A 12,707-nucleotide genomic window follows, 5' to 3' on the forward strand; every position below is an offset into this window, starting at 1 on the left:
GAAAACAAGTGAAGTTGGATATGGATCACACATCTTTTATCAGAACAAGTCCCAGATATATCAGAGACTTACATTTACCAAATGAAAACATAAAAGTACTGGGAGAAACCCTGGGAGAATACTTTTATAACTTTGAAATGGGTAAAGCCTTTCAAATTAAGACATAAAATCCAAACCCATGATATAAAACATCAGTTCAATTACATAAAAATAAATAATATTGGCATGACAAAACCACCATAAGCAATGCCAAAAGTCAAACAAAAAACTGGGATAAGTATTTGCAATTCTTATCTTCCTGTATGCCCTTTCATGCATGAAGTTTGTTTCCTAATATAGAATGAGCTCCTAAAAATCGATAAAAAACAAACACCACAAAAGAAAAATGGGCAACAATTCATGGAAAAAAATACAGATCTCTTTTGAATACATGAAAACATGCTCGAACTTACAGAGAAACTTAATAATATAATGAGATACTGTTTTCACCTATCAAACTACCAAATCTTGATAATATACCATGTTGGGAAAGATATCGGAAGCAGGCACTGTCATATATTGCTGATGGACGTATAAATTGTTCTTCCACCAAGAAGGGCTGTTTGGCAACATCCATCAAAATTCACATTCTTGTAGTACCTGATTCAGAAATTTCTTTTCTAGGAAATGTGTATAGTTACCCTCACATATGTGCAAAATGTCCTATGCAGATGGTTATCCACAGCAGCACTGTTTGTAATAGCATATACTAGAAGCACCCTAAATGTCCCCCAATAAATACAGTGGATTATTATATAGCCACAATAAAGAATCAGAAGGCTCTTTAAGTGCCAAGACAGAAAGAGCTTCAATATATTTTAAGTGAAAAAGATAAAGTCTAAAAAAATGTGTATGGTAAGCTCCCATTTAGTTAAATGAGGGGAAATGAACATATAATCATATTTTCTTATTTATATGTAAAGTATGATCAAGAGAATACACAGGGCATGAATAAAAAGAAATCGCCTGTAGAGAGAGAAAAGGGTGACTAGGGAATGGATGCAGGAGGGAGAATTTTTACTGCATGCCCTTTCATACTTTTTGGTTTTTTGAACACATGAAAGTATTACCTATTGAAGAAAAATTGAATGAAACTTTAAATAGATAAATGAGTATAGGCTAGTCACATTGGCTCACATATTGGGAAAGAAATTTTGCTGGATTTTCCCCCCTCTATTAAAAAAAGACCCCCCTCCTTAAAATATGTCCCATTCCTCAAAAGTACCCTGGCCTTGTATTTGAGGACCAAGTACACAGGGACTAATATCTGGGCAGTTGTCCCTCTTTGCAAAGCCGTCAGTCTCCAGCAAGTTTGATGAGCACTTGCTACACGCCTGGCCATGTCCTGAACACTGAACACCATGGGAACTCTCAGGAGAATAGACAGCCTGCCCGGTTCTGCCCTGCCAGCAGGACCCCAAAGTAGGCAAGGCTGGGAAACCATTATTCCCAGTCCTCCTGCCCAGTAAGGTCTACAGGTCCCTAGCAAAGAGGCAGCACTGAAAACATACAGGCAGGAGACTCCTGGGGCAGGAATGAGGAGTGGAAATTCAGAGGTCCTGGGGTAGCAGTGCTGGTAAGAAAACCATGAAGGAATCTCTTAGGGAAGGACTAGCTCTTTCTCTTCCTACCACCTTCCACCTCCACTGCATCCTGCCCCTACACCCACCCCTGAGCCATCATGGCCCTGGGCTTCCCTGAGCTATCCCATCCACTGAAACCCTACTCGTGAACTGCTTGCCACTGAGAGCCCAGTGCCAGGCAAGTTTAGTCCCAGAGGTGTGAGCTCTTTTGTTTATAATGGAACCGAAGACCCCCAGAGAAATAGAAAGTCCTAACAATCGCCCTTCTGGCTCCCGGAAGTCTTTGGACCCACTCTTAACTTTTTCTGTCATTAAGGAAAGGAACTTAAGTCCCTAACTCTTCCTGGACTTGGTTTTATATGGACAGTTAGAGTTTTCAGGAAATACAGAGGGGGAATTGGAGGAAGTGACCAGGGGCGGGCTTCAGGCCTCAGTGGCAAGACAGCAGGAAGAAGCATTTTGGTCAGGGCCTCCCCCAGTCATAGCCAAGGGCAGCTGCTGCATGCTGCCTGCAGACCATGCTTGGCTGTGGCAGCCACCCTGGACCACCTTTCCCCTGGGGAGAAGAAAGGGTAGAAAGCAAAGGGAGGGTGAGCATCTGGGGCCAGTGCAGGGGCAGGCAAAGAAGAGCAGGAGCTGGGGAGCAGTGAGGACTTCCTCCTTCTTTGCCCCACCTGAGGCAATCCTGGGCAGAAGAAAAGGCGGAGCCTTGCAGCCTGAGTCAGAAAAGGGGCAAGGTTCAAGCTGGCTTGGAATCTTCTGAATCCATTCAATTTATACAAAATTAGAAGAAGTCCTTCCTCAGACATAACAAAGGCTTTAAAAAGAGTGCTTAGGAGGTGGCATTTGGGGTATTTTATAAAGTTGGGCTTGGTGGCTGGCATTGGAGGAAGTCAACCAATGTGAAGGCAGGAGGGCAGAGGAGCGCAGCACACAGGGATAAGCACACTGGCTTGCAGAGCAGATCCACCAAGCCTTCACCACCTGTAATCACCTACCTTCTTCCAGCTTCCTTTGACGTATTTCTGTAAGGGTAGTTGCCACATGTGCTCCTCCTAACTCACAGAGCTATGCAATGGAACTGTTTAATGGAATTCACAGTGCTGAGCGTGGATCATGAACTGGGAGGTGCTTCCCACACATAAAGAAGCATCATTGTTGTTCCTTTTCCAATTAGTATCACCATTGTGCTGATCGTGTGTGTCATGGGGGTTGGCAGCACTGGATACTACAAAATAGGGATAGAGGGGCATGTGACTCAGTGGGGCCCCAGCTGTCAGCTTCTCAAGGACTCAGACATTTGCAAGTGGGCAGATAGTTCACCCAGTTCCCTTGAACTTGGTTCCTTCATGAAGAAAGTGAGTGTGACAATGTTAAAGACCTTCTACTTTCACGCACATCTCATTAGTCCTTCAAATAAGCCTACAAGCAGGAGCGTGTCATTCTGATTCACCAGATAAGGTCACAGACCAGCAAGGTGACTTTACCAGGACAAGGCTACAACCAGTGCTACAAACTCAGGCCCTGGGTCCTGGCCCAGTGTTTGTCTCACTGCTCCATCACCCACAGCCAGAGCTGGGCCTTGACCACACACAGTGGCCAGGGTGGGGGTGGGAGAACCCTGGTCCCAGGGGCTCAGCTTGGTTGGGCTCACTGTTCTTTCTGTAGTTCATGAGCATTTGCTTACAGCAGCATATTTTATATGCTCTTTTTTCTCAAGAAGTCCCAGCTGTAAGTGGAAACGGGGTCGTGGCTACAATGCAGGCTGGTCCTAAAGTGCTTCCTGCCCCACCTTTGCACTCAGGCCTGGATCCCTGGCGATGGCCGGAGTTCACATCTTGACGCCAGCAGACCCCTCCTGCTTTCTGTGTGCAGACAAATGGGCCTTCTTTGCAAGACCCTTCACCCTGCATCCCAGCATGGCTGTTGCGGGGAGCCCAAGGTGGATACCACCACCCAGTCTGGGTTCTTCTACCGTGTCAGGGCTGTGGGTTCCAGGCATGGTGGCAAGGAATTTTTACCCAGAACCCCAAAGTGTAAAACAGGCCCCAAGGGAGCTGCACTGTTTGAGACTGGCATGCCCCTATGGCTCTTGCTTGCTGCACAGAACCACGTGGGCTCTGTGGGTCCAGGTGATTATAAGCAATGTGCCTTCCTTGCTGCCTCCAGACCTTTCCCCCACCCAGCCTGCTTGCCCCTAGGAAAGTGATCTTACAAATGCATTGTGCTCATGCAGGCAGGATGCTTATTGCTGTTAGCATGCATTTCAAATTCTTTTTCCTAGCATTCCAGGCTCTTTGAGCAAAACATTCCTGTCTTGCTTCACCATTCACTAGGGCCCAATTCTCTGGCCTCCTCACTACCTTTTGCATCAGCTATATTGGCCTTCTCCTCTCTCCCATCTTCTCTCCTCACAGTGTATCGAACCCTTATCTTCTAACCATGTTTCTCTTGAGGGGCGCTGTTTCCTGGAAGCCCTCACTGCCTGCACTAGCTGTTTGTGGTCTCCCGCTCTGATGCACATTAGCTCTCATAGTGTTCTATAAAGTAGTGCCTGACTCTTAGGTGGTTTTAACCGTTTCGTTGATGTCCCTATGTGTCATGCTGGGAACCCCAGCTGATCCCCATGGTTAGTTCATGAGGGACAGGGGTAGATGCTTCTTTCTTTCATAGCAGGATCTCATTAATATGAATGTGGGTGCATAGCAGGGCTTCTATATATACCTACTGACTTAGCTCTATTAAACCACAGCAGTCTTGATATATTCCTGGGGTTACAGAAGTTCCTCCCTCTTGCTGAAGAAAGTGGAGGTGCCGTTAGGGGCTGACTAACATGAGAGAGAGCCCCTGGACTGAGATGGGTTTCAAGAAACACAAGCTTCTTTCAGGACTTTTTTGCTGGAGATTTCCCTAAGATAGGCACATACCTCCAACTCAGGAAGACTATATTGGGGTGAGTGACGTATTGACATTATGGTCCTGGCCTATCTTGCAGGGATTTGAAACTGGACAACATCCTTCTGGATGCAGAAGGTCACTGCAAGCTGGCTGACTTCGGGATGTGCAAGGAAGGGATTCTGAATGGTGTGACGACCACCACGTTCTGTGGGACTCCTGACTACATAGCTCCTGAGGTAAGACCTGTGTGCAAAGGTTCACCTCCTCCTGGTGCCAGGACCGAGGCAGGGGTCCAAACCCATGCACTGGGGTCATCTAGTGGTGCTGGGGGAAGGCTCTGGAAATCCAGGATGGATTCTAGGAAGGAGGGAGAAAAGGAAAGGAAAAAAGTTTGCTGATTGATGTCTGTCAAGAAGTCCTAGTGTTGGGGAGATGATGAGTGAAATGAGAGTAACAGGCTATTTCCCAAACCCGGGCAAGTTCACACTGAACATCTCTTTCCCATCCTAGTCCAGAACCACCAATAAATCTAGGACCAAGAAAAACGTGTTGACTTTTATTATTGTTTTCATGTCTTTAAAATCAGAACAGGGTGGGCACAGTGACTCACATCTGTAATCCCAGCACTTTGGGAGGCCAAGGCAGGTAGATCGCTTGAGCCCAGGAGTTCAAGACCAGCCGGGGCAACATGGTGAAACCCTGTCTATATAAAAAATACAAAAATTAGCCAGGCATAGTGGTGCAAACCTGTAGTCCCAGCTACTTGGGAGGCTGAGGTGAAAGGATCAATTGAGCCCAGAAGGTTGAGGCTATAGTGAGCCATAATTGCACCATTGCACTCCAGCCTGGGTGACAGAGCAAGACCCTGTCTCAATAAAAAAAAAAGTAAAAAATAAAATCAGAATAAAGGAGCATCATTGATCATGGGAGCACTTCACTTTATCAGCTACAATTTGCTAACAGTAAAACTAGGAACTGTTTGCTATTTCCTGCATAGTGGCAGTTCTATGCTGTGAGTACACAGGATGGAGCAGGAAGAGGAGAGTGACTGTGCCTCATTATATACAGATATCAGAGATGTTCACTGTGAACCACTCCAATAGGTTGCCTTTCCTGAAAGTTGTTTGGGATGTTTTGCTCAGCATGAAGTGTTTGTTTGCCTTATTCCTGCCCAAACTGAGAGATAACTAGTGTGATGTGATTCAGATTTAAGACATGGCCTGTCATAGACAATCAAAATGATCTTCATGGTTCTGAGACATGTAAGATAGGAAAGAAGTACCAATCCCCACTAAACATCGCCCATGGCGGATAGGTATTAGCACATTCAGAGCTCATTTCTTTCAGTGGGCATTGTTTGAGCACGTGCTAGGCACAAAGCAATGTGGAGATAAAGAACTGACTGAGACACTTGTCCCTATTCTAAAGAAGCTTTTGGTCTAAAGGGAGTGATAGATAAGTAAACAACTAATTAAGCAGAATAAATAGGCACATAAAAGAAGATGGTATCCTCAGGGATCAGGAAAGGCTTCTTGGAGCACCTGGTGGATGAATTGAGTTGTAAAGAATGAGGATTTCCTTTGACGGAAGGGGTGGGGAGGGTATTCCTGAAAACAACAGGATTGGAACGGGGGCAGGACAGGAAAGGAGGTTCAGTGTCCCTGGGCCCTGGATCCTTTGAGGGCAGGGTCTGTGTTTCTAATCTGGGTACTGCCAGGATCCGGCACACAAATCAGGATCTTAGAAAGGTTTGTTAAAAAATGACAACTTATGACATTCCAACATGAGCAAAGGCCAAGGGACAAAAACATCTTGGTCTTTTCCAGGACAGTTAAAAAGTGTAGCTAGATCATAGGGTTTCCTGGTGCTCATAGTAATGAATGAGATTGGGATAAAGACCCAGTGAATGTGGCTTTGATCCTGTAGGATCTGTGGACCCACTCAGGGTTTCAGTGGAGGAGAGTCCTAGTCAGATCCATCCCAGGAAGAAGGAAGGCCACAGCTGTGCAGATCAGAAGGCAGGGAGTGAGGGACTGATGGTCAGGAGGCTTCACAGACCACACAAGACAGGGGAGGCCTGAGGAACATCTCGAAGTGAAGGTGATGAGTAATAGGTAGTTTCCCTTTAGAACCTTTATCTTCTAAGAGATCTAAAGAGTAGGGATTTCAGTCTTTCTGCAAATGTATTTCCTTAGCAAGAACACTAGGAATTCAGCCTTCAAGGAGCAACAAATGAAAGCAAGAGCTTTCGACAGGGAACTGCTTTTCTCGTGTTCTTCGTTCATTCTTCATTGTCAGAATACTTAGTTCCAGTTCCTCTCTAAGTTGATGCCATCATTCATTCTTCATTGTCAGAATACTCAGTTCCAGTTCCTCTGTAAGTTGATGCCAGAGCCTAACAGTTGACAGCCCATGTTATAGTTAAGGACCCAACCCAAGACAGAACATTCACTTTATAATGAACAAAATAGCCACTCAGCTTTCATGAAAAGCAGTCCATTGGTGAGACTCACAATGAACAACTCTGATCTCTGTTCACAATGAAGCACAGACACTCTTCCTTCCTGCTCTGGCCTTCGTGCCCACCGTGCAGAAACATCTCTGCACTGGCAATGACAATCCCTGGTCTTGCTGTAGGCAAATTACAGCTGATAAAGGTATTGCTGCCTTCATCGAGGGCTACTGGGAAGATTAAATGAGATTATGCCTCTAAAGCATTAGCCCAGTGCCCAGCCCACAGGGAGTGCTGGCTAAATGGTGGCTTCATGGTTATCATCATTGTTGGGTTGTGTGATGGGATAGGAAACGCAATCCTGAGAATTGAGTCTTGAGTCCAGATTTGACCACAAATGTACACATGAGCATTTGATGACTTGATGAAGTCACAAAATGTTTTTGAGTCTCAGGTTTCTCATCTTTCACATGGGAGCCATAACTCCTTCCCTACCTACCTCATCAAGCTGCTTTGAGAATCTAATGAGATTAGAGCATGGAAATGCTTGAGAAAGCAGAAGCCTCCATTCAAATGGGAGAGGTGGTAAGGTGCTGAGCTAACCTCAAAACCAGAGACAGCTTTGGAGGCATGAGGTCTGCCCCAAGGCTTATCTTCCTGCCACATGATATGCCCCATGGCACCCCCTCTGCTTTCCCACTCCCAGCCCCTGCTTCCCAGGAAGTGGCCACCAGCCTTTGGTAATAGCATCATCAGGGCCAATGCCTTCTCCCTTCTCCCTTCTCCCGAGCTCTGACGCACTTGAGGGGTTGGCTCCAGGTGACTTCCCGTGACATGGAAGCCTTGCCCTTCTGCCCAGATCCACTGCCGACAGTTAATTAGGAAGCAGATAATTAGAGCCAAGCCTAAAAGGAATCTTACAAAAGATGCCACCCAAAATGAGAAGGCTGTGGAAGGGGCCTGGAGTGGGGTGGCAGGGCGGCTCTGTGGTTTCCACAGCACCATCCAGTCTCAGCACACACAAGCCACCTTCTCCCCACCCCCTGAAGGCACAGAACCCAGCTGCCTCCTTCCGAGAAGCTGGAGGGCAGCCACTGTAGCACCCAGTGTGCCCTGAGGCTAGAAGAGAAGGGAGCATGCCCAGTAGATACACACAGTGGCCATGCATGCTAGCCAGTCACAAGATGTTGACTGTCTCCTGGATGATAGAACAGGCTGGCCACAGCACTGGGCTCAGTAGCATGTTACAGCTCCTACCCTCTGGTACCTTATAGTTGCACTGGGGAGACCGCTGGCCATGAAAAAATAACTAACGACGTAGTGGTATGTGGAAAGTGAGAAAGTGCCTGCAACTCGTAGGAACAGGCAGGGGTCTTAAGTTGGGCGCTGTGTCTTTTGAGGTTGAGGGAGGAGTTGGCATTGGCTTTGGAGCATAGCAGAATCACTGGCTCCTCAGGACAGTGGAGCCCATAGCTTTGACCTTACAGCTCAAGGAACACTAACCACTGGGCTTAGACCAAAGGTATTAGCTAAACAGATTACCAGCCCCAAGTAATGTAGAGTTGGCTGCATTTTCTCAAATTCCTTTTCATTCCAAATTCAGAAGATTCTAAACTGTGAGTGTTTTAACTGTTTCTAAATGCTTCTTCTATCCAAATCTTTCTAGTTCATCCTAAGCAATTTGTAACCTCTAGAAGGGTATTTTGAGCAGACCACAGAAAGTCCAGATACTTGAATTCAGCCTCCTCTTCCCTGGCCACCATGAAATCTGAGAACTAAATTGGAGCCTTGTCCCCAGCCTGAGATATTATCTGCCCAAGGTGTCCCATGGGCTGGAATGACTAGGCATGAACTTTGCCTTTTTTTTTCAGGGTCCTCAAAGTGTTCCCCCTTGCAGGATATGCACTCCAACCTTGTTTCTCCTTCCCTTTTTAAAATTCTTTATAGAATTATGGACCTGGATAGGTCATCTCATCCACCCTCCTGTTTCTGGGCAGAGCCATGCCTAATCCCACTCTAATAAGAAGAGAAAATAATTGTGGAATGGGAATGTCACCTCATGATCTCTTCCTTGTAGAGTGGACAGCTCAGCATTTATTTTTCCTCTGAGCCAAACACATCATTGATCTGCTACATATTTATTTTATTTATATATGTTATATTTTAAAGGCATACTGTAAAATACAAAGCTCTATACAGCTGAAAGGTGATATTAAATTCTAGTCTTTTCTATTGGATGTCATCTCCATATATATATATATGTATTTTTATATATATGTATTTATATATATGTATTTATATATATATGTCATTGACATGCTACATATTTATATGTGCGTGTGTGTGTATCATGTATTTATGACATATGTGTATGGAGAGCAGATCAAATAGAATAGCCAATCAGAAAAGATCCTTTTTTTTTTTTTTGAGATAGGGTCTCACTCTGTTACCCAGGTTGAAGTGCAGTCGCATGATTATGACTCACTACAGCCTCAAACTCCCGGGCTCAAGTGATTTTTCCACCTCAGCCTTCTGAGAAGGTGAGACTACAGACACGTACCACCATGCCCAGCTAATTTTTTTTAAGAGACAGGGTCTTACCATGTTGCCCAGGCTGGTCTCGAAGTCCTGGACTCAAGTGATCCTCCCACCTCAGCCTCCCAAAGTGCTAGGATTACAGGTGTGAGCCATTGCGCCCAGCCAGAAAAGATGTCTTGTATTCAGTAGCATCATGTCATACATGCATTTAATCTAAGTGAATTTGACTCTACATATTTGGCTAGAGGAAAAAGAGAGACAGCATAGATAAGACAAGTGACCATTGTCAAAGACAAAATGCACCAGACAATCAAGGAGATGGTTCGATTCTGGCTATTGCAATAGGGGGTTCATTAGTGAAGGTGGCCCCAAAGGAAGGGGGCCTACGGTTTTGTAGAGGCAGGCAAAGTGGGGGATTCTTCAGTGGATCTTATGGGAATCATGATGAACAATAGAGATGGGTTTTTTCTTAGAATATGCAAGAGTATAGTGGTCCTTTATAGGGAGACCATTACAGGGTGGGGGAGACTTATTCATTGCAGTTTCCTCTCCAGGAGCACAGGGCTCAGGTAAATTGAGTGTTGCACCATTTAAAGAAGACCTCTGCTCACCTTTCCACTCAGGCAGTGAGCTGTGCCCTGGACTGTGTGAGATGGGAGACCTGACCTCGCTGCACTCTGAGTCACTTACAGCTTGTTCTCTCAGTATGCATCGTGCTCCCCTGACCCTGATTTTAGTGTCAAAATATGCAGTTTTTTAAAATGTGGCCCTCATGCCAGTCAGGAACTTTATCTGGTGCTCAAAGAAATAGGAATTTGTTCCCACTGGAAGACAGACTGTCGATGTTGACTTTGGAAAGATGATAGCTGGCCCCCAGCATAGTGCCTCCAAACTCAACTGTCACTGAATTTGCTGATTTAGAACTTCTAGGACTAGGACTCAACTGTAGGGAGGAGCAAGTTGGAATTGAAGTCCTTCCCATGGGCGTTCGTAGCACGGGTGTCACTGGGGTGGGAGCCTTTGATGGTGCCTGACATTGCTGGTTTCCTGAACAGATCCTGCAGGAGTTGGAGTATGGCCCCTCCGTGGACTGGTGGGCCCTGGGGGTGCTGATGTACGAGATGATGGCTGGACAGCCTCCCTTTGAGGCCGACAATGAGGACGACCTATTTGAGTCCATCCTCCATGACGACGTGCTGTACCCAGTCTGGCTCAGCAAGGAGGCTGTCAGCATCTTGAAAGCTGTGAGTCACTGCCCCTCACCCATGGCTGTGCTCTCCTGGGCTCCTCCCCCTACACACACACACACACACACACACACACACACACACACACACACTCCCTTCTCCCTTTCTCTGTCCAGCTTTCTCCCTCCCACCTCTGCTCATCACCACGGAATGGGAAGGATTAAGGGCAGTTGCCACTGGGAGTTCAGGCACAGTGCAGAGGACTGCTGCCAAGAGAATGGGGCCTGAGATGACTTGCTCTTCTGGTGGGAAGAGGAGCGCATGTCTGTGCTTCCTGAGATGAGGCACTGTGTACATCTGTGTCCTCCAGCATTTCAGAGGGAACAGAAGCAACTCAACTGTGCTGACATCACCTCTGCCACTTCCATACCTTCCTTACCTGTGGCCTGTCTTCATCAGGGACCTGTGATGGAGAACAGAGAGGAGGGGAGGGAGGGTGGGCACCGCCCACCTGTGTCCACGACAGCATCACTGTGGCTCAAGAGCCAATCAGAAAAGATCTGGTACACTGGAAATTCATGCAGTCCTGCTGGATTTAGATACATAATACAGAGACTGACCCTGCCCTAGGAATCATCCCTCACATGGGAAAACCCCTTATGCTTTCTCAGCACAGCCATCTCTACGATGTAACAATGCTTGTACTGTGTCAAGCAAGTGATGTTACCTGTCCCCTTTTGAAATCCGTGAAAGCTGAGGTACAGGGAAGTTAAGCAAGCAGTCTGCCCAGGGTCACCCCTCTGAGCTAAGATAGGATGAGGGTGACAACCCAGGGACCATGACTTCTAGACTTGGCTTCTTCCACTCATCTGAATGCCCCAAAATTCAATCATTTGCACATTATAGTCACAAAATTTGCCATCTTCAAGTGTCTTCTGCACTATTACTAGCTTTTCTTGTTCTTTTAATCAACTTCCAATATTTACCTGATTATATGTATTTTACAAAGAAATTTTTTTTTTTTTTTTAGACAGAGTCTCACTGCAATGGCCAGGCTGGAGTGCAATGGTGCTATCTTGGCTCACTGCAATCTCCTCCTCCCAGGTTCAAGTGATTCTCCTGCCTCAGCCTCCTGAGTAGCTGGGATTACAGGCACCCGCCATCATGCCTGGCTAATTTTTGTATTTTTAGTAGTGACAAGATTTCACCATGTTGGCCAGGCTGGCCTTGAACTCTTGACCTCAGGTGATCCGCCCACCTCAGCCTCCCAAAGTGCTGGGATTACAGACATGAGCCACTGCGCCCAGCCTGTATTTTACAAAGAAATTTTATACCATTATCGTAGGTAGAAAATCAGTATCACTTGCCATAATGAATTAATGTAATTTTTTTTCAAGATGGAGTGTTGCTTTGTTACCCAGGCTGGAGTGCAGTGGCGTGATCTCGGCTCACTGCAACCTCTGCCTCTCGGGTTCAAGAGATTCTCCTGCCTCAGCCTCCCGAGTAGCTAGGATTACAGGCGCCCACCACCATGCTCAGCTAATTTTTGTATTTTTAGTAGAGATGGGGTTTCGCCATGTTGGCCAGGCTGGTTCCGAACTCCTGACCTCATGATCCACCCACCTCGGCTTCCCAAAGTGCTGGGATTACAGGTGTGAGCCACTACACCCTACCTAATGTAAATTATTGTATAAAAATTTTTGAAAGATCTAAAACCATTTTGTAGGTATCTGAGGGTGCATGTACCATGTTTTAGAAAACTCCACATCAGAACATGTTACCCTTTTCTGTAGTTTTTTTTTCCTCCTTCCTTTCCTCTTTCCCTCACCTCATTCCTTCTCTCCCCTCTGCCCTTACTCTCCTCCCTCTCTCTTTCATTCATTCATTCAATGAACTACTATCTATTGAGCACTTCCAACATGCTAGGCATGGTGCTAGATGCTGAATAAGTATTGGTGAGACCTGGTCTCTGCCTTGTGAAGTTTCCAATCCTGTGGAATTATTTATTAT

At 46.1% G+C, this 12,707-nt stretch overlaps 1 protein-coding gene across 18 annotated transcripts in view, besides 1 other annotated feature; it reads left to right on the top strand.

Moving 5' to 3' along the window:
* Window positions 1-12,707, top strand: part of PRKCE (protein kinase C epsilon) — a 536,712-nt gene that overhangs the window by 489,197 nt on the left and 34,808 nt on the right. For all 18 annotated transcript variants that reach the window (XM_005264428.2, XM_011532980.4, NM_005400.3 and 15 more), the window contains 2 exons: window positions 4,618-4,756; window positions 10,566-10,754. In XM_005264428.2, the coding sequence (XP_005264485.1) occupies window positions 4,618-4,756; window positions 10,566-10,754 (328 nt within the window). The remainder of the gene's footprint in view (window positions 1-4,617; window positions 4,757-10,565; window positions 10,755-12,707) is intronic.
* Window positions 3,447-3,946: an enhancer, noted in NCBI's record as "H3K4me1 hESC enhancer chr2:46371061-46371560 (GRCh37/hg19 assembly coordinates)". NCBI's record gives its function as "activates a minimal SCP1, AML or CMV promoter by ChIP-STARR-seq in naive H9 embryonic stem cells {active_cell/tissue: H9 hESC(naive)}" and the evidence as "EXISTENCE:reporter gene assay evidence [ECO:0000049][PMID:30033119]".

The sequence above is a fragment of the Homo sapiens genome, chromosome 2 (genome assembly GCF_000001405.40).
Source record: "Homo sapiens chromosome 2, GRCh38.p14 Primary Assembly".
Classification (NCBI taxonomy): Eukaryota; Metazoa; Chordata; class Mammalia; order Primates; family Hominidae; genus Homo; species Homo sapiens.